The following is a 25,224-nucleotide window of genomic DNA, read 5'->3' on the forward strand; positions in this document are numbered from 1 at the left end:
CTCTCCTCTAACTGGTGACTCAGGGACCCAGCCTCCTTCCATATTATGGTTCTGCCATTTTCAACACATGATTTAATGTATGCTCATCTATAAGAAGCCAGTGGAGGGAAAAAGGCCATGGAAGATACTGAGTGGAAGATTTGCAATTGTCCTTGAAGTTGTCTACATTACTTCTGTTCATATTCCATTGGCCAAATCTAACTGCAGGGGAGGCTGGGACATGTAGTCTAGCTGTGTGCCCAGAATGAAGAGCAAATGGGTTTAGTTCTCAGGGAGCATTCCCAGGCACACCTTATAAAGTGACGTATGGGGCAGTAACTTTGAGTTCTTCTGAATTTAGAAAATTGCTTTTGAGCACGGCACAATGAAAACTGAAAATGCCATTGGTAGCCTGCAGTTTATTCTGTAGGAGTCTTTTTAATTAACAGCTTAATTGGATAATTTAATCCCCGTTAGAATTGGAGATATGCAAATGAAAATGAGATACTCCCTATGATCTGACAATACTGTGCTTTAATAAACACACCAAAGTGAGCCTGGAAATGAGCACCACAAAAGCATTACCATGATTTGTGATCAGTGAAAGAAAACCTGATCTATAATTTTAATCATTCCTAAATGGTTTAGATACATGTTTCATTTGAATGTGTATTTTGTTTTGTTAATTGGTTCAATTAGAAAGGTAACTGAACATAAGAATCTGTGGCAAAGCCATGAATTTATAATATGTTCTAAGCTTTTAAAATATATACCATTGAGAAAGTAACTAAAATACCCTACAAAATACTGTTGAAAGTGCAGTATTTTCCAGTATTTTCAGATAATTTATATACAATAGTTTTTACTTCTCCATTGATTATGAGATGAAAAATACTACTTACCATATTCTTGTTATATGCTTTCTCCACTTGAATGAGAAATTGAGGCTCAGAGTCCAAGAAATGAAGATGAGTGTCCATGTACAAGCCACAAAAGTGCTGTTCTAATTAATTCTGGCCGGAGACTCCACTTTACAGAGAAAGAAAAACTGAGTAAGTTAAAATCCCAGTGTAAAAAGCTACCTAAAATATTGAGTATCATTTTCCCTGCCAGTTTGGCTGAAATGTCTGCAAATGTCCTAGACAAAAAAAGTGGTATAGTTTACCATTTGGAAGTACACTGTGTTAATTTCCAAATTGATTTAGAAGTCAGTGGAATCCCAGTACTTGGATAACAGTCAGACAGCCCTCCCACCCCAGTGACATTTGATGAATGTCAAAAATAGCCCAAAGCATATTTATTCCAAAGTTGACCAGATTTTCAATTGGCATTTGTATTTTTTTTTTTTTGGCCTAATAATAATCGTAGTGAAAATGGCTTCTGTTTGTTGACACCCACTATGTCCTAGGCACTCTGCTGGGGCATGCCTGCTTTATGGCCAGTCCTCACAACAATCTTGCACATAGTTGTTGCTATTCCAACTTCACAGGTGAGAAACACGTGACTTGTCAAGATCACATTAGTAACTGCAAGAGCCAGAAACAGTCAGTTTTGTCTAACTTCAGAGCCCATTCTCGAATGTTCTCCTGGGATATAGAACAATGTTAACATGATTGTAACCTGTGACTTACTGAAGACTTCAGGTTATACTTCTATAGTAATCTGTTAGAAAATAATGTAAAGATAGGAGTCAGTTTACAATAATTTATACTTACTGGTAGTTTCAAGTCCTTCAGAAAGGATTCTAGATACTGCTCTTTACTGATAATGCTTGTTACCATTTATTATCTATAACGTGCCAAACATGTACTAAATACCTTATTTATATTATCTAATTTAATTATCACAACAACTGGGATACATATTATTATCTCTACTTCACAGGTAAGAGACCTGAGGCTTGGAGAGGTTAATGACTTCATTCATGATCATTTAGCTAGCAGCTGGCAGCATGGATTTGAATCCAGTTTGGTCTAAGTGCTTTCTTAGGCAAACATTAACTATGGTAACTCTTAAGTCCTGGATGTCCAGGCTGGGGCATCCCCTCAGTTCAGCTGGCAGACCTCCCTGAAATCTACCTGTGATCAGCCCCATGATTACCCTCACCCTGTCTGTTCAGTCCCTGAAACCGAAAAGTTTGCAGGTTACTTTCTCCAGACAACAAAATCTTTGTGGCCCTGCCTATGGGTAGTTGAGAGACTTTCAAGCAGTCACCTTGGTTTTGACCCTATGATGCATTCTTTTTAAAATTTTTTTAAGATTTGACAACACTGTGTGTATTTATCATGTACAACACGATGTTCTGAAGTATATGTACACATTATGGAATGGTTAAATCTCACTAATTAACAATTGCATTACCGCATGCAGTTATTTTTTGTGGGGAAAGCACTTAACATTCACTCTCTCTGCATTTTTCAAGAACATAATAAATCATCATTAACTACAGTCACCTTGCTGCACAATAGATCTTTTGAATTAATTCCTTCCATCTAACTGTAATTATGTATCCTTTGAACAACCTCTCCCTATCTTCCCCACCCCTCAGTCTCTGGCAGCCACCATTCTACTCTCTACGTCTATGAGAACAACTTTTGAGATTTCACAGGAGTGACATCATGCAGTATTTATCTTTTTGTTGTCTGGCTTATTTCACTTAACATAATGTGCTCCAGGTTCATCCATGTTGTCACATGTAACAGAATTTCATTATTATTATTATTATTATTATTTTGAGACGGAGTCTCGCTCTGTCGCCCAGGCTGGAGTGCAGTGGCGCGATCTCGGCTCACTGCAAGCTCCGCCTCCCGGGTTCAGGCCATTCTCCTGCCTCAGCCTCCCGAGTAGCTGGGACTACAGGCGCCCACAGCCACGCCCGGCTAATTTTTTGTATTTTTAGTAGAGACGGGGTTTCACCGTGTTAGCCAGGATGGTCTCGATCTTCTGACCTCGTGATCCGCCCGCCTCGGCCTCCCGAAGTGCTGGGATTACAGGCGTGAGCCACCGCGCCCGGCCCAGAATTTCATTATTTTTTATGGCTAAATAATTTGCCCTTGTGTATATATACCACATTCTTCCTCCCTTGATGGACGCTAAGGTTGATTCTACCTCTTGGCTATTGTGAACACTACTGCAATAAACATGGGAGTGCAGATATCTCTTCAACATACTCATCTCATTTCCTTTGGGTATATACTCAGTAGTGGGATTTCTGGATCATATGGTAGTTCTAGTTTTAATATTTTAAGGAACTTCCATACTGTTTTCCATAATGGCTGTACTAATTTACATTCCCACCAACAGTGTGTAAGGGTTCCCTTTTCTCCATATCCTTGCCAGCACTTGTAGCTTTATCATGCATTCTGACATTTGCTGTTACCTAGAGCTTCCAAATCCTGAGGCATTCTGGTATTCTACAGAGTATTTCAGTTTGCTTCTAGTAGGGGGGTCTAATATTTTTGTCTATGTAGGTTTATACCTTTCAAAAGATATATTTTTAGCTTTTTGAAGTGAGAGGGTGAGCAGATCTGCATCCGAGTCTCCTACATTCAACTGGAAGTCTACATTTAATTTTTTAAATGGGGATATTTAATAAAAATTTATTTGGAAAGAAATGCTGCTATAGATACAGTTCTATATGGAATTATTGCCTTTCCCCGGTAATGTCTGTAACTAAAGAGTCTAAAGTTTCCTTTAAACTGTTGAATACTAGGAGGTTTTATTTTACACAGAAACCCATCCTATTTTTTCTTAGTTAATTTAATAAAATAAACACACACGAACATTTGGTATTTTTCATTTCTCCTAAAGACATAGAACTTAGCCTTTGGAGAATTCATCAGAGATTGAAGGAACCTATCTCTGTGTACCTTCCGAAGTTGCCTAGAGTGGATTTGTCACAAATGCTGTGGAGGAAATTTTTACATATCAACAAGGGCTAAGCTCGCTCCTTGGAGATTCACATTTCAACTCTCATTTGCACACACATAGAGTCTCTGGTGCAGATTGAGTTTGAGTTAATGCACATAGCTTGTTGGGAAGAAATCAATCAAAAACCTTTTTAAGGATAAATGGTTCTTTAGGAACAGAAAGTTCAGTATCTCAATTTTATTATAAGCATTGAATAAAAACCATTTTAAAACATGCAGCATATTAAAACTACAAAAGGCGCTAATAATAAAGGTATTCCCTCACCTAGGTCAGTTGGTGATATGTACTAAGTGATATTTAGAATAAGGAAAAAAATCAACTGTCATTTAATGTCTGCCTACAACACATGAGGCAGAGTGCTAGTTGTCATATTGCAATTTGAGTAATCCAGGACTCTGGTGACTTTAGCCCAAAACTTCACGAACAGTATTATAACAGCCTTGTCATTCCTACGCTTAAGAAACCTTTAGCGATGTTTTTCATGGTGTTTACAATAACATCGAAACAACTTTCCCTGACTTAAAGGGCCTACAGGACCTGGCTCTCTGTTTCTGCTGTCACTTCTTCATAGCCTTTTTCTAGCTCCATTGGTGGTCTTTCTGTTTCTGTAAATTTACTAAACTTTCTCCTACCTTCTCAGTCTCAGGGCCTTTGCTGCTTTGCCTGAAATGCTTTTTGTATGTCTTTCACATAACTTCATTGAAATTAGGCCCCTTAACTATGTAGTCTATCACCTCACCTGCCTCACACCTTCATAGATCTTACCACTGTTGCTAGTTTTCTCCTTCCTTCCTCCCTCCCTCCTTCCCTCTCTCTCTTCTTTCCTATTGTTTGTCTTCCTCCACTGTCTTGTAAGTCCCATGATATTAAAACTTTCTCCGGGGCTAGGCATGTTGACCCGTACCTGTAATCCCAGCACTTTGGGAGGCCGAGGTGGGAGAATTGCTTGAGGCCAGGAGTTTGAGACCAGACTGGGCAATATACTGAGACCCAGCTTCTAAAAAAAAAAAAAAAAAAAAAAATTAGCTTGGCATTGTGGAGCATACCTGTAGTCCTAGCTACTCAGGAAGCTGAAGCTGGAGGATAGCTTGAGATCAGGAGGTTGAAGCTGCAGTGAGGTATGATTGTGCCACTGCACTCCAGCCTGGATGACACAGTGAGACCCCGTCTCTAAACCAAAACAAAACAAAAAAAATAAGCCTTTCTTTTGTTTATTACTATATTTCTAGCATCACCACTATATTTCCAGCACTCAGAACAGGGTCTGAAAAATAATAGGCCCTTGAATACACATTTAGTAAATGTGTTCTTTCATTTCACCCATAAATATTGATCATTTACTACGTGCTTGGCACTCTTTAGGGGCTGCTGAGGATATTGCAGTAAACCAAACAGATAGAAGGTCTTGCTTCCATAGAGCTTATACTCTAGGAGACAGACAATAAAATAAATAAGTGAAACATGATATAGTAGATGGTAATACTTGTTATGGAGGAGAGAAGAGGATATAATATGTGGATGTCAGAGTGTTGCAAATTTAAATAGCACGGTCATGAAGATGTTTGAGCAAGAACCTATCTTGGAGAAGAGCCTTCTTGGCAGAGGCAGGAGTGAGTCCAAAGACTTAGTGGTAGGAGCATCCCAGGACATTTGTAGAAGAGCAAGGAAACTAGTGTGGCTGGAGCAGAGCGAGCAAGGAAGAGTGCAGAATGAGATGATGTCAGGATGAAAACAACAACATTCAGCTTGTCTATGGTCATATAGGCTGCTGCAAGAACTCTTCTTCTCACTCTGTGTGAGATGGGAAGCCACTGGAGAATTTTGAGCAGAAAAGTGACAAGATCCAACCTATGATTTCCATGATGACTCTGGCTGTGTTGAGAATAGACCGTGGCTGAACAGGGGAAGAAGCATGAAGACCAGTTAGGAAGTGGTTGCCATCATCCCAGCAAGAAATGATGGTGGCCGTGTCGAGGAGAGGAGCAGGGGAGGAAATGAGTGAATGAACGATAATAAAATTTAAGAAAGAAACGCTCCATCATCCTGTTACTTTGAAATTTCCGCCTATTTCTTTTGTATTTGTGTTTTTCCATAGCCCCATGTATAAATATATGGCATAATTTTTATTCAGAGGATAATATGATTTTGAATCTTTTTCATCTAATAGCATCGGCCTGCGTCCATAGGTGCTTCAAAATCTTTTTTTTTTTTTTTTTGAGATGGAGTCTCACTCTGTTGCCCAGGCTGGATACAGTGGTGCGATCTCGTCTCACTGCAACCTTCGCCTTCCGGGTTCAAGTGATTCTCTTGCCTCACCCTCCTGAGTAGCTGGGATTATGGGCGCAAGCCACCACGCCCGGCTAATTTTTGTATTTTTAGTAGAGATGGGGTTTCACCATGTTGGCCAGGCTGGTCTGGAACTCCTGACCTCAAGTGATCCACCCACCTGGGCCTCCCAAGGTGCTGGGATTACAGGCATGAGCCACCACACCTGGCAAAATCTTCCATTTTTAATGGCAGAATGATATTCTTTAGAGTTTCTGTGACATAATTTGTTCAATTATTTCTATTTAGAAATTTATTATTGATTTCATTTATCACTATTGTAAATAATAGAGATTAAAATCTTGATATGTAGATTTATTTTCTTTCCTATAGGTTGTTTCCTTAAAATAAATACTTAAGAGTAAATTTACTTCATCAAAGGATGCAGGTATATGCTGTTGTGGCTTTTGAAATGCACTAACAAATTGCGTTCTAACAAGGTTGTATGCATGCGGGTACCTACCGGTTTTACAATAGAACTGGATCAGAAGTAGGTCCTGCTCGTAAGAAAGTTACAATATAATGTGGGAAGAAGATGTGTAAACCATCAGCTGTAATAAAAAGCACAATGAAGAACAGTGTAAGAAGGTACCACATTTAGAAAAACCTTATCAGCTTTAGGTGTTATTAATTTCATTTTTAGTAACTTTTGCATTCATTAAATAAGTAAGGCTGAATGCAATGGCTCACGCCTGTAATCCCAGCACTTTGAGAGGCCGAGGCAGGTGGATTGCTTGATCCCAGGAGTTCAAGACCAGCCTGGGCAACATGGTGAAACCCCATCTCTACCAAAAAACATACAAATTAGCAGGGCATAGAATGTGCACCTGTAGTCCCAGCTACTGGAGAGGCTGAGGAGGGAGGATTACTTGAGCCCGGGGGGTTGAGACTGCAGTGAGCCATGATTGCGCAACTGCACTCCATCCTGAGTGACAGTGAGAACCTGAAGTAAGTAAGTAAATAAGTAAATAAATAAAGCGTGACTGGTTGTTTAATTTTACCAATTTGCTTTTTTGTTTTTACCTCTCTTGATATAAATTACCCACATATCAAGGCCCTTCACCCATTAGGCTATTAAGATTTTGATTTTTTCTCATTCTCCTAAAAAGACACATGCACACGTATGTTTATTGCAGCACTACTCGCAACAGCAAAGACTTGGAAGCAACCCAAATGTCCATCAGTGATAGACTGGATAAAGAAAATGTGGCACATATACACCATGGAACACTATGCAGCCATAAAAAGGATGAATTAATGTCCTTTGCAGGGACATGGATGAAACTGGAAACCATCATTCTCAGCAAACTAACACAAGAACAGAAAATCAAACGCCACATGTTCTCACTCATAGGTGGGAGGTGAACGATGAGAACACAGGGGCACAGGCACAGGCAGGGAAACATCGTGCACCAGGGCCTGTCGGGGGTGGGGGGCTAGGGGAGGGATAACATTAGGAGAAAGAGCTAATGTAGATGACGGGTTGATGGGTGTAGCAAACCACCATGGCACGTGTATACCTATGTAACAAACCTGCAAGTTCTGCACATGTATCCCAGAACTTAAAGTATAATAATAAAAAAGATTTTGATTTTTTTCTTATCAATTAGGTAAGTTTTTGTTGCTTATTATTCATAGACACTTACTTAGCTAGAAAACAATTCTGCTACTCTCTGATCCTCATCTTTGTACATTTGTAAGTAGTGGCGTTCCTTTGTAAGGTAATGTAGATGGGCAAAATAGTTCACATAATTTGTCTTACTGAAATAAACTTTATACAGAGAAGTACAAAAGAGTTAACACAAATTTAGGAGGTATACAATGTTAAGTGTACATCAGTTAACCGAACAAATATTTATTGAAGCACTTAATAGATATTATTCTAGGGTTGGGAATATGATGAATAAGGTTGTAGTTTCCAATTGTTTAACAATTTGAAAATTACTCATAAGGAATAGTAGATATATAAATAAATTTCAGCAGTGTAATATATAATTGAATAGAGGTGAACACAGAGTTCTTTGGAAATAAAACTGGATAAAAGTATTTATAGAGCTAAGCAATGAAAAAATTCTAATGGCCTCAGCTGTGAAATAAAAATAATACAAAATGAATAAGGCAGACAACTCAATAGAAAATTGGGCAGACGACTTGAACTAACCACAAAAGAGGATATTCCAAATTGCCAACAAATAGATGGAAAGGTGCTTAACTTCACTAGTCATGAAGGAAATGCAAATTTAAGCCACAACATGATTCAACTATTTACCCCCTCCCCTCTAGAATGGCTAAAATCAAAAAGCATTTAGACAAGCAGAACTCTCATAGACTGCTGGAGGGAGTATACATTTGTATGGCCACCTTGGAAAACTATTTAACAGTATCTTCTAAAGCTGAATATACTTGTATCCAATGACCCAGCAATCCACTCCTAGGTATTAAGTTGTCATCTTAGTAGGTAAACAATGGTTGAATATTGGCAATTTTATATTGCTTAACCTAACGTATACCCAGCAGAAATGCACACCTATGTTCACCAAAAGATGTGGAAGAATTTCATAGAAGCACTATAAGAGTCCCAAAATAGAAAGTATCCAAATGCCCATCAACAACAGAGAAGGTAAATAATCGAATACTGATCTACAATAACAAGAACAAACAAACTGCAACTACATGCAACAAGATGAGTGTTTCTCACAAACATAAGTTGGATGAAAAAAGCCAAACACAAGAGAGAACATACTTCATGATTCTACTTACATAAAATATAAAAATATGCAAAACGAATCTGTTAGAAGTCAGAGGAGTGGTTACTCCTTGGGGGTTAGGAACTGGAAGGGTTCACAAGGTGGGGCTTTTGAAGTTCTGGTAATGTTGGGTTTCTTGATCTGGATGCTTTTTACATTAATGATTTGTGCACTTTTGTATATGTATGTGTATTGCATCAAAAAGTTTTAAAAAAATAACATTAAAATAAATATAAGAAAGTCCAAGTAAGTCCTCATTTTTTCCCCACAACAATCACTTTGATGCTTTTCTAGGGAAATACTGAATATCAAATTCTTTTAAAAAGCTTTTCTCCCCTCATTTTTGGAGCCCTTTTTTTGCTGGCAATGGTAGGTAATCCTGTACTTGTTGTAGGAACACAGGTAAGAGACTAAACTGGGTGTGGGGTCCTGGCTGGGAAGCTTTCCTGGAAGAGATGAAGCTGGACCTGAGTTTTGTAGCATCCATCAGAGACAGCCAGGGAAGCAAGTGGATGGCAGACAGTTCCAGGGAGAGAGGCCAGGCTACTCGAAAGCGAAAAGGTATGGTAGGGAAAGAAAGAGAACCCACTGAGAGGGAGTGGACAGAGCTTGCTGGAGCTAGAGCTTGAAGAGTAGCTGAGGAGGGGTTAATGATTGATAAGCAAGAGAGTTTGGCAAAGGTCAGACAGAGAAAGATCTTAAAGGGTCATGATACTGAGCTTGGACTTAATCTTGTAGGCATCTGGGAACCACTGACCAATTTAAATCAAACAGGTGACACAATTAAGTTTCTACTTAATAAAGAGTAAGATGGTGATGGTGTGAGAAATACTTGAAGAGGGTTAAGAAGACTGGAGCCTGGGGGACCAGTTAGGAGGCCATTGCAGTAATCCATGGGAGATACGGCAGGCTGGTGGTATGGGATGGAGAAGTAGGGATAGACATGAGAGCTATTGAGGAGACAGTTGTTCTGACAGGACTCAGTAATTGATGGGTTTGAAATTGACATGTAGGCATGGTACTTTTTTTTCTAGTAAAAAAAAATTGGTAGAACCTTAATTATGATAAATGATAAAACACATGTGCCTTTGTCCTTATTCCCCCCTTTAACACCTTTTTACAGGTGTATACATCAAAGGATGTTGCCATGACGAACGAGAGAACGCTTACCAATGATTTCCCATTGCTGCTTGGAATGAAAACCCAATGACACATTTCAAAATTTTGCAGTGGTAAATCATGTAGGTCATCTTATTGCACTACCATGCAAACTTCTTGATTTTGCCAAATCAGTCAGTTGAGAGGAAAAAGGAAAAAAGTGTTACCTATATATACTGTCATATACTATTGTAAACAAAAAACAATCCGTATATAGGTTTATATGATTATACAGTACAAAACTATGTACACACATGAACAAACATACATATATGTATATACACACTAGAAGCTTAAACAGCTATGTGACACTTGAGATTTTTATATACAGACTTTACCAGGGTATACAAAAAATAACATAAATTTTTACTTAATTTTCCCTGTCTTTTTAATGGTTCCATTTGGGTGGGGGAGGATCCAGAGGATTTTTTCCTCACTTTAATTACCTCATTGCATTTCCTTCTTTTCGATTTTGGTTTTTATAAGCGGGAACACTGTGTTAATCCATTCTAATTAAAACCCAGCCATGCAACCCTTCAGTTAAATAAACAATTTTTGAGTCTGCCTAGGATATCATTTAGTCAGAAATTGTCTCTATGGCTTTGGAAATGATCACCACTACAGTGCTCTGGTAGCCACAGGGGCAATGTCTTCACAGGCTGATTTTCTAAAAATACCAGGAATTGGCCAAGAGCCCTTGTTCTGGGGAAGGGTTCAGAGTTCTTCCACAGGGGCCTAACAGAGTGCAGAAATGTATATTCCTATAGAAAAAGAAGAGGGTAGGAGTTATGGAAGGGGCAAAAGAAATGACCCAAGTGCACCTCCTGCTTGTCCACAGAACACCTCTTTGCCTTCCGGCTGCTGGAGGAGCTATGCTATTCTTAGCCATCTCCCGTGAAGGCAATTACACAAACCCCCTCTGAAACCCATTTCCACATTTGTTCAAGAAATTCTTTTATCTTATGTAAATCCCCCATGCTGTAACTAAGCCCTTGGTCTGCCCTTGGCCAGATGGGAGGGCAGCCAGGCTTCCTCTCTCCAGCAGAGCCCTTTCTGTACCCAAAGATGATTATCTTATCATCGTGCCATCCTCCCTCCCATTCTCCAGACTGAAAATTTTCATCTTTAGCTTTTTCCTTTCCTTCTCCTTCTTATCATTTCTATGATCCCCTTTAACTGTTGCCAAACACTTTTCAGAACTGAACCTAGTACTATGCAAAAAGTCTATCTGATCTTGTTCTCCAACTGATGGGGACAAGGCAGGTTAAAAAAATGTCTGAGAAAGCAACAGGGAGAGTAGAGGTAGGTGCTGCTTGCGCACAGCTGTGGAATAAAGCTGATTACAACTGAGTCCAAAACCAAGGCCCCAATCCAAGGCCGCGTCGTAAAAAAAAAAAAAAAAAAAAAAAGAGAGAAAAGTAAAAAGAAAGCCAAGCCCGAAGTCCTTGCTGGTTCAAAGGCCCAGGGAGAATCCAGAGGAATTGTTCTGTAAGGGGAGCAGGCCTGGATGTGGGCTGAGTAGTGAGTGGACAGCTGCAGCCTTCTTTGAAGCAAATCTAGATCTTACAGTCCTGGGCTGGGAAGGGGCAGGCATCTCACAAACAGCTGAAGAACCGACCAGCAGTAAGTTCAGGAGACTGTTCGGATTACCTTGTGAGACTAAGTCAAAACTCCTCCATGTCACTAAACATGTGCCTCAGACCTTCTAGTGGACCAGGACCAAACTTAAGAGGGTGTAGAGCAAGCAGATGGGCCCCAACCCAAATGGTCCCTCCCTAGTTGGACCATGTGATAGTCTCTTGGGCTTGAAAACTTCAGTCCTCTCTTTCCCTCCTCTCCATTGCCTTAATCACCAAACTGTGACTCTTCAATGTTTCTCATGCTCATTCCTTTTTGCTTCTATTTTCCCCAGTCAAACCTGAACAATCTCGGTCCTGAACAGTAAATTGCTTCCTAATAGGACTTTCGATTCCTATTCCTGTTTGCCAATCTATGCCACATTCTGCTGTCTTTCTTTTATACTTTTACTTGAGGATTTTGAATTACCTATAGGGATAAGTTTATATTGCTCCTTAGTGCATCCAGACCCTCCAACATTTGGCCCTAAACTAGCTTTCCCGACCATATCTCCCATTGCTTCTTTATGAGTCCTCTATTGAGTCAAGCATATTGCCCTTTCTATGCCTGTCTTTGTCCATGTTGTTCCCTGACTTGGAAGGCGAGTGGCTCTGCTCTGTGTGCATGTAAATCCTATCTTGAAAGATGAAGATCTGATTTTAGTTTATCCAAGATCATCTTGACCAAAATTTCTTTATGTCCCCAGATTTCTTACAGCACTTTCTGTCAGTTTCCCTCATCTAATCTTATACTATACCGGGCTGTTAGTTGGCTTTAATATGTGTCTGTTGTCTTCCCTGGCTAGTGTCTTAAATACTTTGATGGCAAAGGTGGACTTTTGGAGTTAAGGAAATCATTCCAAAGAGCTTAGCATTGTTCTGGAGGTACTGAGTTTGCTGTGGCTTCAGCGTAGTTCACAATGCTACAGTGCGGTGATTCTCAATATTCTTCAAGATGAAGATCTCTTTGTTCCCTTTCCATTGTCAATAAACGAGTGTGTTGTGGTTCACTGATTAACATTTTTAAAAGTACCTTAATGATGAGATGCTTTCATGAATTTGCTAATGCTTTACAATGAAGTTTTATTTAGGTATAGCATCACCACCATGTACTCGAAAATTAGTAGTGCTGTAACTGTATTTAAGATGTCTTTATTTATTTGGTCTAATACTTAGCCAGCATGTGGCTTTGCTCACCCTTACAATGATGTTGGCTCTTTATGTGTCCTGCTGCCCCACTATTTGGGCATATTATTATTATTATTACCTCACAGGGCTGTTGTGAGGGTTAAATGAGATATATATTAGGTACATGGCACAGTGCTTGGCTGAAAGTGATTTTGATCTTTCTTTCCCTTCCTCATGCCACCATCAGCTAATTTAGAAGATGGGAATGTTCTGGGACCTCTGGGACAGAGCTTAGGGCAGTGGATGTGGGAAGGCATGGTGCTGTCTCTGGAAGAGAAGGGCATTAAAGATCACCTAGAGCAGCAGTTCTCAAACGTTTTACTTGCAGGACTCCTCTACCCTACCCTCTTAAATATTATTGAGGACCCCAAAGAGCTTTTGTTTATGTGGAGTATGTCTATCAAGAAACTTTAAAAAATATGTTTAAATTTAAAAGTAACAATAACAAACCCATTATACATTAATGTATATAACACATTTTTATGAAAAATAACTATATCTTTCAAAACATTAGTGAGAAGAGTGGGATTGTTTTAAATTTTTGCAAATCTCCTTAATGTCTGGTTTAATAGAAGACAGCTGATTCTTGATTCTGTTTCTGCATTCAATCTCCTTTAACACAGATGGACCCCAACTTAAAATGGTACAACTTAGGATTTTTGATTTTACAACGGTGTGAAAGCGATACATATTCACTAGAAACCATACTTCAAGGGCCCATACAACCATTCTGTTTTTCACTTTCAGTACAGTAAAGTCCATGAGATATTCAACCCTTTATAATAAAATACACTTTGTATTAGATGATTTCGCCCAACTGTAAGCTAATGTAAGTGTTCTGAACATGTTTAAGGTGGGCTAAGCTATGACGTCCAGTAGGTTAGGTGTAGTAAATGCATTTTTGACTTATGATATTTTCAACTTATGATAGGTTTATCAGGACATAACCCCATCGTAAGTCAAGGAGCATCTGTATTTGGTTTTGGTGAAATATAGGAAGAAAATATAGGTTCATACAGATATATTGTTGAAAAAGGGAAAGGGCATAAGAGTATTTGAATAGGTTTTCAGATAATTGTGGATATTCTTCTTTGAAATGAAACCAAAACTCAACAAGTGGTAGTTTAAGAAATGTTTTCAATTGTAACTTGATAAATTATAGTTGTATATATTTATGGGGTACAATGTGATGTCATGATTTATGAATAAAATGGGGAATAATGAAGTCAAAATAATTAACAGTTTCTGTAGTGAGAACACTTGAAATTTACTCAGCGATATTAAAAGGTGCAATACACTATTAACAGTTAAAGATTACTTGCAATGCAGAATCTAAAACATATCAATGAAGTTTTCATGCTCTGTTACAACAAAATCCATTGCTATCTTTATTTCAATGTGTCTTTTAATCATTTATGATTTTGTAACACCAAACCTTGGGCACTTGGAAAATATTGAGTGCACCAAATTATGCAGATCTTCCAAATATAAGCACATTTCATTATACAATTTTAAAACATTGTCTTGATTATTAATCACCACTGATCTTATCAGATAAGTTTTTAGTGCTGGGAAGCTGTTAGGCTCACGGTGGCAAATACAAGATTTTCCAAATTCCAATTTTCATTCAAAAGCTTGAATGTTATCATTGGCAATAAATACTGCCAGTTATTTTCTTTGAAGTTACTGGCCAATTTAGTTCATTTTTTTGAGAAAGTATCTGCCAAATACCCAATTTCGAATAACCACAGTCTGTCAGTTGTTCTTCCAAATAAAAATAGTGTTCCTCAAAAAAAAGCAGATAGGCCAGGTGCGGTGGCTCACGCCTATAATCACAGCACTTTGGGAGGCCAAGGCGGGTGGATTGCCTGAGGTCAGGAGTTCAAGACCAGTCTGGCCAACATGGTGAAACCCCATCTCTACTGGGAAAAAAAAAAAAAAAAAAAATTAGCCGGGCGTGGTGGTGTGCACCTGTAATCCCAGCTACTCAGGAGGCTGAGGCAGGGAAATTGCTTGAGCTAGGGAGGTGGAGGGTGCAGTGAGCCGAGATCGTGCCACCACACTCCAGCCTGGGTGACAGAGAGAGTCTCCATCTCAAAAAAAAAAAAAAAAAACAGATAGTTCACCTTCCAACTCAAATGATGGCATTAGTGCTTTTCCTTGAGACAGCCATTGTACTTCAGTGTGCAGCGAAAGTGCTTTATGTGTACTTTCCATTTTGTCACACAAGATATGAAAAAGATCTATACTCATGAGTTGACATTTAATAACAATAATTGTTAGCACTTCACCAAGGACATTTTAAAATGAAACTGACATTTTCTTTTTACTATGTAGCAGTAAGAAAATACACCGACTACTAGTATAGTTTGGTCCCATTACCTTGATTCATGCTAAGGTGCCAGCAGTTTTACCCATCATTGCTTTTGCACCATCGTCACAAATGTCAAATGGTGAAAAAGGCAAATAACATCTTTCTATTATTATGGAAATAGTTTTGACCTCAATGACCCTCAGAAAAGTCCCTGAGAATCCCCAAGGGTCTGTGGACCATGTTTTGAGGACCACTGCTCTTAAACTTTTGCAAAGGGCCAGCCCTCCCAGGACGCAGAATGTAGCTACTCCCACATTTGGGAGGAGAGGTGAGGTCTCCTTCAAACAGGGCAATTTGCCTTCCTTTTTGGAACCCGAGATGGACTTTTTATTTCCTTGCAGAACTGAAGGCATCTGGCTTGGGAGCACGATTATTCTCCACTCACCTTTAAACTGCCTCAGCTATTACTAAGTCTCTGGCAGTGATATGTTGATTATGTGAATTTAAAGCCCACAGGAGCCAGAGGAATGACAGATCAGTTTCTCTTAAATGAGAAATAAAATCCAGGAGCCTGGCAGCGGGACATACGGCTCTCACTCCTGCTGACCTTTGATGTCACTCGGGTAGAATGACTGCTTCTAGGCCAGATGGCATGTAGCTTAAACGGAGATGTCTCAACCTGTTTCCTTGTATTAATTGTGCACATTGATACTCCTCCATTGTGTAGTCCATAATTCTTCATCGTCAACCTCATTTGGATTTTTTTTTGAGGGGAAGCTGAGCTCAAGCAGGCCTCCACGAATTCAAGCTATTTCAAAAGCTCCAAACCCAAACCTTTTTCTATCCAATCACTGTTATAGGCTGACAGACACTGAATCTCCCTTCTGTCAATTGAATGTAAGTCTAGCAACTTTTAAGAGCAATGAGATTGAAGGAAAGGGCCTTCTTTCACCTCTTTGCCCTAAAGGAGGTGGCTGAATGGAAGCCCATTTAATTTTTTGTTTAAAGGTACTAAATAAGGATCAATTTGTAAAGACGGCTCTCTGAGTGTAGCAAGATAGTTTCTTAAATCTGATAGGGATAAATGGGAGGTCAATATCCTTTTTCTTATCAACAATTTCACCAAATAATATTTACTAAGAACTTTCACATCGGGTTTCTCAGCTATAAACAAGCAAACACTCCAAGCAGAGATATTGGAAGTGCTGAACCAGGACAGTTGCTGGGTATGGAGCTAGAAGCTAACATCGCTTGTCTATGGAAAAGCATGCTTTCATTACTCAAAAGCTGAACTTTTAATTTATTTCTAAATCAATTTGAAGCAGACCCAATGAGCGAGAAATGCAAATGTAGTCAACTGGGAAAAGAAGCTGACTTTTTTCACTCAGGGTCATGGGTAAGGATAGAATTCTGCCACGTGAAAAATGTCTCAGTTTTGACAAAAAAAAATTAACACTGCTTCAAGGAAAGAGAAAATAAGTTATGGACGTTATATCTGACAGATTTTTCCCTTTGTATTCATGGCATTTGAATTATATGCACATCACTAAAAAAATATTGAACCCTCATAAAGAGCCTGGCAAGTGAGTAACTGTAATTTTAAAACAGGAACATTCGCATATGTTTTAAAGCTGTTTTAGTTTTTGCTCAGAATTCTGGTTCACTATTTATAATAGGGCAGAACATCCATGCTTTTGTAAGAACCACTTTGGCTTATAGAAAATACAGTACCGGCCAGGCATGCTAGCTCACGTCTGTAATCCCAGCACTTTGGGAGGCCGAGGCTGGCAGATCGCCTGAGGTCGGGAGTTCGAGACCAGCCTGACCAACCAACAAGGAGAAACTCTGTCTCTACTAAAAATACAAAATTAGCCGGGAGTGGTGGCACATGCCCGTAATCCCAGCTAATCGGGAGGCTGAGGCAGAAGAATCGCTTGAACCCGGGAAGTGGAGGTTGCGGTGAGCTGAGATCGCGCCATTGCACTCCAGCCTGGGCAACAAGAGCAAAACTTCATCTCCAAAAAAAAAAAAAAAAAATACAGTACCGCTTTAAAAGTTTCTAAGCCAACAGAAATTCAAATGATCTAAAACTTAAATCAACATATAATGGTTTGAGAGAAAAACATGCATTGGCCTTAGTGTTTAGGTAGGTTAGGTATGTTTGGAGACTCCATGAGAGGAGCCCATAAGGAATTTGTTTGCACGAGGGATGAAGTTGCTTCCTGTGAATGAACGAACCCTAAGACAGAGTAGCATTGATGGGATATTGAGAAGGTCAAGAACTAGGGGACAGTATCAGAGGCAAGGGGCACTGTTCATTTAAATTTAAACTAGCCACCATGAGCTTATAACCCGAGTCCTTGGTAGAGGAGCAATAACTAAGAGCAAGCGAAGGAATGATTTCAGAATAATCTCTTTAAGACACTGGGGAGAATAAACCTGAAATGTTTTGTAGGCCATGTAATAGAGTGAAATGAAAGGGAGCACAGAAGTCCATTTACCTTCTTGGACTCAGTGGCCCCTTCAGTGAGTATTGTGTCTTTGCTGGGGCAATTGTGACTTTGCATATTGATGGACACTGGTGCCTTTGGTGGTTATTGGGGCATTGTTGCGTTTTCACCATTAGTGAAGTCAAGAGTCAACAACTTGGCCAGGCGCGGTGGCTCACGCCTGTAATCTCACCACTTTGGAAGGCCGAGGTGGGTGGATCACCTGAAGTCAGGAGTTTGAGACCAGCCCGGCCAACGTGGTGAAACCCCGTCTCTACTAAAAATACAAAAATTAGCCAGGTGTGGTGGCACATGCCTATAGTCCCATCTACTTGGAAGGAAAAAAAAAAAAAAAAAAAAAAAAAAAAGAGTCAACAACCCAACAAGCCAGAGCCAGGGAAAAGGAAAATGATCACTGCTATGTGGTAACTGAGTACTGAAACCAACATAATTCTCTGTCGCTGTGTAAAACAATAACAGACGTGGGAATAGTTTTCTGTTCCCATATTAATCCATGTTGAGAATAAGCAAACTTAGCTACTTGCTCCAGGAAATACTTTTTCCTGAAAATTAAAATTGTAAACCAACTAAAAGAGTTTACTTAACAAGAATACCACCTTCCCCATCAAAACTTGCTTCAATATTCTCCTCCTGCTATGCCCACCAATCTACAGCTATTACGTCACAAAATCTACCCAATCCCAATTAGAGGCCTGCCTTGCAAGACCCGCCCTGAAACCACCCAACTTAGTCCCTAATAACCTATCCTGTCATTTCCCCTCTGAGACACTGCCTAGACACCATTAAGGCAGAGTTCTCTCATACTGCAGTAAGTCTCATAAGATACTTCACTTTGATGGATCAGTGATGTTTTTCTAGTATTTTAGGGGAGGGCACGGAGTAGGGGTTGACAGCCAACGAAGCTAAAAGGGTGAATGTCTGCACATTCAGGAGAATAGAGGTGCCACAATTATGGGTGGAGTGGAGGCAGAAAAATATGGTGTGTTGCTGTTTTTACGATCCAGTTTGTACTTAGAGGCAAGGTAAGATGTGAGGAAATGTGGGCTAAATACCCATAACCCTTTTTAAAATTAAGCAAGAACAGCAAATGTCTAAAAAATGTCTAGCCCAGTGAAGTTACCATCTATTCACTCCTGTTTTTTTTTTTTTTTTTTTTTTTTTTTTTTTTTTTTTTTTGAGACAGAGTCTCACTCTGTCGCCCAGGCTGGAGTGCAGTGACGCGATCTCAGCTCACTGCAACCTCTGCCTCCCACGCTCAAGCGATTCTCCTGCCTCCTGAGTAGCTGAGATTACAGGCGCGTGCCACCATGCCTAGCTAATTCTTGTATTTTTAGTGGAGATGGGTTTTCACCATGTTGGCCAGGCTGGTCTGGAACTCCTGGCCTCAAACGATCTGCCTGCCTCGGCCTTCCAAAGTGCTGGGATTACAGGAGTGAGCCAAGGCGCCTGACACTATTCACTGCCTTTTACATGATTTTTCCTTGACGAGATAAATGTAATGCTCCCTTCTTCCAGACAAAGGTGATTTTAAACTTACTGTATCGTGAAATCACAAAATCTTAAAAGGTATGTGTATTTTGTGTGTATGTATATATACATGCACACACACAGACATATCATCCTATCTTATTCCAATGAGTGATTTAAGGTAGTTCACAAAAATGCAATAGGATAAAAATAAGTCAGTCCTAGAAGGCAAAGCTCTGCAGGGCCTGCTGGGAATTTATTCCCCACGCCCATCAGTTTCTGTTTCCATGAAGACCCCTTTCTCTTTGAGTACTGAAGAGCAGCATCAGCAACCTCAACACTGAAGCTTTTTCTTTCTCTGCCCAAATTCCCTCACTAGAGTGGTGGGACAGGGTAGGTGAGGAGAGAAGGAAGCCCTTAAACGTCAAAGCAGTGGAGGGTTGGGGAGGCATCGGATCGCACTTTCGCCTCCTAGGCTGGGGAAGATGGTGCACATGCGTTGTAATGCGCACGTGTTACTGGCACATGACTCCCGGTCCCTTGTGAGCCGAAACTTGGATCCTAATGACGTTGATAATGGGTTACTAGGCACTCATAGTTCTGGATCGTTGGGTGGCCTTCACGTTAGCAGAAGAATTCCTTTAAACGTCATTTTTGAGGAAGTAGACAAACCTAAATATGTGTCTGAACTCCAAGGAATATGAACAAGATGCCTGCTGGTGAACAAGAATGTGAATATAACAAAGAAGGGAAGTACTACTCTAAAGGAGTTAAACTGGTGAGAAAAAAGAAAAAAATTCCTGGTTACCGTTGGGGGGACATTAAGATAAACATCATAGGTGAAAAGGATGATTTACCAATTCATTTCTGTGACAAATGTGATTTGCCTATTAAAATCTATGGGCGAATAATTCCGTGCAAGCATGCTTTTTGCTATCACTGTGCTAATTTATATGACAAAGTCGGATATAAAGTATGTCCGCGCTGTCGTTATCCTGTGCTGAGAATTGAGGCGCATAAACGAGGTTCTGTCTTCATGTGTAGTATTGTTCAGCAGTGCAAGAGAACATACTTGTCTCAGAAAAGCTTACAGGCTCATATCAAACGCCGCCATAAGAGAGCTCGAAAACAAGTTACCAGCGCTTCGCTTGAAAAAGTTCGTCCTCATATTGCTCCGCCACAAACTGAAATCTCTGACATCCCTAAAAGACTGCAAGACAGGGACCATCTAAGCTATATTCCACCAGAACAGCACACCATGGTGTCACTACCGTCTGTGCAACATATGCTACAAGAGCAACATAATCAGCCACATAAGGATATCCAGGCTCCTCCCCCAGAACTATCTCTAAGTCTGCCTTTTCCCATCCAGTGGGAAACCGTTAGTATTTTTACGAGAAAACATGGCAATTTAACAGTTGATCATATTCAGAATAACTCAGATTCTGGTGCTAAGAAGCCAACACCTCCCGACTATTATCCTGAGTGTCAAAGTCAACCAGCGGTATCGTCCCCTCATCATATTATACCTCAGAAACAGCATTATGCGCCACCTCCATCTCCATCATCACCAGTAAACCATCAAATGCCATATCCTCCTCAGGATGTAGTTACTCCTAACTCGGTTCGTAGCCAAGTGCCAGCTCTAACCACGACCTACGATCCATCATCTGGATATATTATTGTAAAGGTGCCACCTGATATGAATTCTCCTCCACTACGTGCTCCCCAGTCTCAAAATGGTAATCCATCTGCAAGTGAATTTGCTTCTCACCATTATAACCTTAACATTTTACCTCAGTTCACCGAAAATCAAGAAACCTTGAGCCCTCAGTTTACACAAACAGATGCAATGGATCATAGAAGGTGGCCTGCATGGAAACGACTGTCACCTTGTCCACCAACGCGGAGTCCACCTCCTTCAACCCTACATGGTCGATCACATCATTCACACCAGAGAAGACATAGACGGTATTAAGGATGATAACAGTATTTGGAACTGAAGACCTGATGGGAAAAAAACCTTCAAGTTCTATACTGTACTGTGGATAAGCGGCTCAGTTCAGCAGAGCTGGAGTTGAACAACTTTGTTCCTCTGGTGTGGTAAATTGACCTAAAGGTGACCTCTGACGATTTCCTGAAATAAATATGCAATGTTACATTTTCAAAAGTATTGTGGTTTTTATTTTTTTATTTTTTGGTGATATGTTAACCTGTGTAAAAGGGTTAAATTTCAATACAGCTGTAAAAATGCTATTTTATGTGAACTCAAGCATAGTCACATGCTGTTTCTTAAACATATTTTACCACTGATTTCCCAAAGTACAATACAAATCCTAGAGGTAAAAATCTACTACAATGTACAGTTAAAGCAGACAGCTAAATGGTAGATAATTATTTCACATTTTAGGAACTGAAATTTTAAGGTACAATAAGTGTATAGTGCATTTCGTTTGGATGCCTTTTCATTTTTAGGCAGCCGCAGAAGCACCAAAATATATCAGAATTCCAGTACTATGATAGATTTAAGTTTGCAATGTTAAAAAGCATTACTAAATCATTTGGAAAGATATGGCCAAAGTAATTGTATCTGTAGGCTCCAAGCTAGTGGGGACAATGTTACTTGTTAATGCTTTTTTTTTTTTTTTTACAGAATCGTTCAAATCACATAATGTACCACACTACTCTTAAGTAGCATTATTTTATAGCACTGTTTAAATGGCGTCATTTACATGAAGTGTGTTCTACTTTGCTCATGCTCCTAAATTAAATATTCAGGACTGAATAAACTTTATTATAATTCTTCATTTCATGGTAGAGTTTGATCCTGTTCTTATGTGGTTTTTTTTGTTTATTAGGTTTTAAACTACAGTTTGAATGCCATGGAGGAATTTGGATAATCTATTAATGAGAGGCATTGTTACAGTTACAGACTTGGACTTGCTTGGGTTGCATTATTGTGTGATAAGGGTTTTTCCTCTAACTTGAAATTAAAAACTACTAATTCTTTCCTATTTCTTTTCTTGGTAAACAGTCTAAACTTGGGACATTTTAGCACGAAGTTAACAGTAAAGACTACTAGATGACTTTGTATTGGAGAAAAGTAATGACATATGAATTTCACTGCTTTATTAAGTGTCTTTAGAATGAGCTTTTGCATTTTAGGGGCTTATTGCAGTCCAGCTATGATGACCACTTACACTTATACTTCTGTACTTTGTATAGAATTCATATGGATGAGCTGAGGTTCTTAGGGTATTTTATATCGTTTGAATAAACCCTCATGAAGATTTTTCTCCCCTTTCAGTAGTGCATAATATAAATATGAAATGTATAGTATGCAGATATTATTTACTAGATGGTTTATAGTACATAAATTTGGGAGATATTTCTTTTTAGCAAAGGATGAACTGACGGCTAACTTATCATTTTACTCTGTTGGGTACAGGCAAAATAAATTCTTGTCTTGGCTGATCAGATGCTCTCTGAGCTTAGAGCTGAAGTTAGAAATATATAAATGGCCATTTTAACCTTGACCAGCCTAAAATAAGTAATAGACTCTTTTTTAAGTGAGTGATTTTTCATACCTAGCAATTTGAGAGTCTAATGTTAATGCACTATTTCTAGTGAAAAAGCCTTGTTATTAGGAGCATGGCATGTGATTATGCGAAATGTTGGTTGGTAAATGCTTCTATTATATTATTATAGGTACTTGGACTGGTACACACTTGATTTCCTTTCTTACCTCTACTTAGAAGCTGTTAAAATATTACTGTTAAAATCCAATATAATTTTTTGTTTCATGTAATAAAAGCCAAATTCAATTTAAGTCTTCTCAACTATCTATGAAGAGCTCTTCTATGTTTATTGACATTCTCCAGGATTGAAGGCAGTATGAAACCACTTAAATGATGCATTAGACAAAAAAAAGTATCCTTATGAAATTTTACATGTTAAAAGAAGCCTTTAAAAATTATTTATTTTCAGTTAGGTTTAGGCAATATGTTATTCAGCAAAGCAGAACAGATGAATGTGTTGTAGGAGATAAAATTTTTAAATGATATTGGTTATGAACTCATCCAGTTATGTTTGAATGATAGTGATGGGTAAAAGAATCACAAAATTACCATTAGTGTTTCTTTAAGGGAAAAATAATATGAATCCTTTCCTTTTACTCAGAGAAGGCTTTGAAGCTATAATGAGTATAAGTCTAAATTAAATTTATGTATGCTACATTACATTGCTCTGAAGACTACTGAGGTGGCAGTTTAAGTCTGAAAAACAATATGGATCCATAAATACTAAAAAATAAACAGAAATACCAGGGAAAGGGAAAATGAAGGTCGGATAAATAGTAAAATTGAGTCCAAGTTAAAGTTGGAAGCAAAAAATTTGCACAATTGCTTCCTGCACTGTTGTTAATGATGGATGAAAAGTGTCTAAAGCAAACAGGCAAGATAAAAGCACGCACATTTCACGGGAAGCATAAGTGTGATACTGAGCAAAAGTTCTCTTGTGGTGCTCATAAAATGGTCATTAATATAGGGTTGTGATTCCTGATTCTGACAGCATGCATCTCCTGGAGCATCACCACAAATTAGCATCCTTTGCTTTACTTATTTTCAAAAGATTCTGAATCAGTAGGTTTTGGCAATGGATAGGGTTTAGTAATCTGTTCTTTCAGTAAGTATCCTAGGTGATTCAGAAACAGCTGACTCAAAAATTTCGTCACTGGACACCCAGTCTCTAGTCTCAGTGGTCTACCATCCATTCTGTACCCAGCAACCAAGGTAATCGTTTAAGAATGGAACTCGGCCAGGCACGGTGGCTCACACCTGTAATCCCAGCACTTTGGCAGGCCGAGGCAGGTGGATCACGAGGTCAGGAGTTTGAGACCAGCCTGGCCAACATGGTCTCTACTAAAGATACAAAAAATTAGCTAGGCGCCTGTAATCTCAGCTACTCGGGAGGCTGAGGCAGGAGAATTGCTTGAACCCGGGAGGTGGAGGTTGCAATGAGCTGAGATCGCGCCACGGCACTCCAACCTGGGCAACAGAGCGAGACTCTGTCTCAGAAAAAAAAAAAAAAAAAAAAAAAAAAAAGAATGGAACTCAGCCCTCAAATAGTTTTGTGTTGCACTTCAAGTCCAATTCCTTTTTCATGACTGTATATGGTTAAACTCCTAGTGAATTTTCAAAACTCATAACCTACCCTTCTCTCTCCGTTCCCCCTGTTCCAGCCATACAAACTTAAAAAAAAAAATCCTTGGACCACCAAATTCCTTCCTGCCTCACGTTTTACAGTTATTGCTTTTTTTTTTTCTTTTTTTTTTTTTTTCCCCCTGCCTGGACCATCTTCCTACAAATCTTCTTAAGGCTGGCTCTCTCACTTCATGTTTCTGTTCAAATGCCTTCCCTGGCTACCCTGTGGAAAATAGCACTGCCCTCCACACACCCATCTCCTAACCCTGCTTTATTTTCCTTCATTCTCTATCACTACCTGTTATTACATAACTAATTACTAATTGCTTTTTTTTTGTTTCCTCCAAAAAAATGTTATCTCCAGGAGAGGTGGGTCTTTGTACTAGTCCATTGAAGAAGGATGAAGAGTGATATATAACAAAGCAGTTTTATTTTTCGTTCTTGCTGTTTTCTTCTTTTTACATTTTATTCTTTCCGAGGTGAAAATTGGGGCCATCTCATAACTTTCCTCTACAGTCTTAAATGGAAAGCTCTCTGATCAGTTATTAAAATGTCCAGTCTGATGGGACAGTCAAACTTTAGAACTGATTTAAGGGTGAGTCCTTTCCTTACTTCCCTAGCTGTGGCTGGTGGAAGACCAGCAGTTAGGAAGAATGTTGTGGTCAACTTCTTGCCTTAACCACCTTTGCTTTGATTTCTTCTCCCCTATTTCATCAGGTGGAGGTCTTGGTCCTTCAGAGTTGGAATGCAAAGGATTGGGGCAGGAGAGGTGAGGGAAGTAGGAAAAGT

General features: G+C 39.3%; 1 protein-coding gene and 1 long non-coding RNA gene across 2 annotated transcripts in view; one reads left to right on the forward strand and one right to left on the reverse strand.

Moving 5' to 3' along the window:
- Positions 1 to 25,224, reverse strand: part of PTCHD1-AS (PTCHD1 and PHEX antisense RNA) — a 1,100,142-nt gene that overhangs the window by 60,053 nt on the left and 1,014,865 nt on the right. The window contains exons 6-8 of the long non-coding RNA NR_073010.2: positions 6,698 to 6,785; positions 4,956 to 5,079; positions 882 to 1,008 (exon numbers count right to left, since the gene is read on the reverse strand). This is a non-coding gene — a long non-coding RNA (PTCHD1 and PHEX antisense RNA). The remainder of the gene's footprint in view (positions 1 to 881; positions 1,009 to 4,955; positions 5,080 to 6,697; positions 6,786 to 25,224) is intronic.
- On the forward strand, positions 19,856 to 21,404 carry CBLL2 (Cbl proto-oncogene like 2). Its single transcript, NM_152577.4, has one exon. The coding sequence runs from the start codon at positions 19,935 to 19,937 to the stop codon at positions 21,210 to 21,212; it is 1,278 nt and encodes a 425-aa protein (NP_689790.1). The 5' UTR covers positions 19,856 to 19,934; the 3' UTR covers positions 21,213 to 21,404.

The sequence above is a fragment of the Homo sapiens genome, chromosome X (assembly GCF_000001405.40).
Source record: "Homo sapiens chromosome X, GRCh38.p14 Primary Assembly".
Classification (NCBI taxonomy): domain Eukaryota; kingdom Metazoa; phylum Chordata; class Mammalia; order Primates; family Hominidae; genus Homo; species Homo sapiens.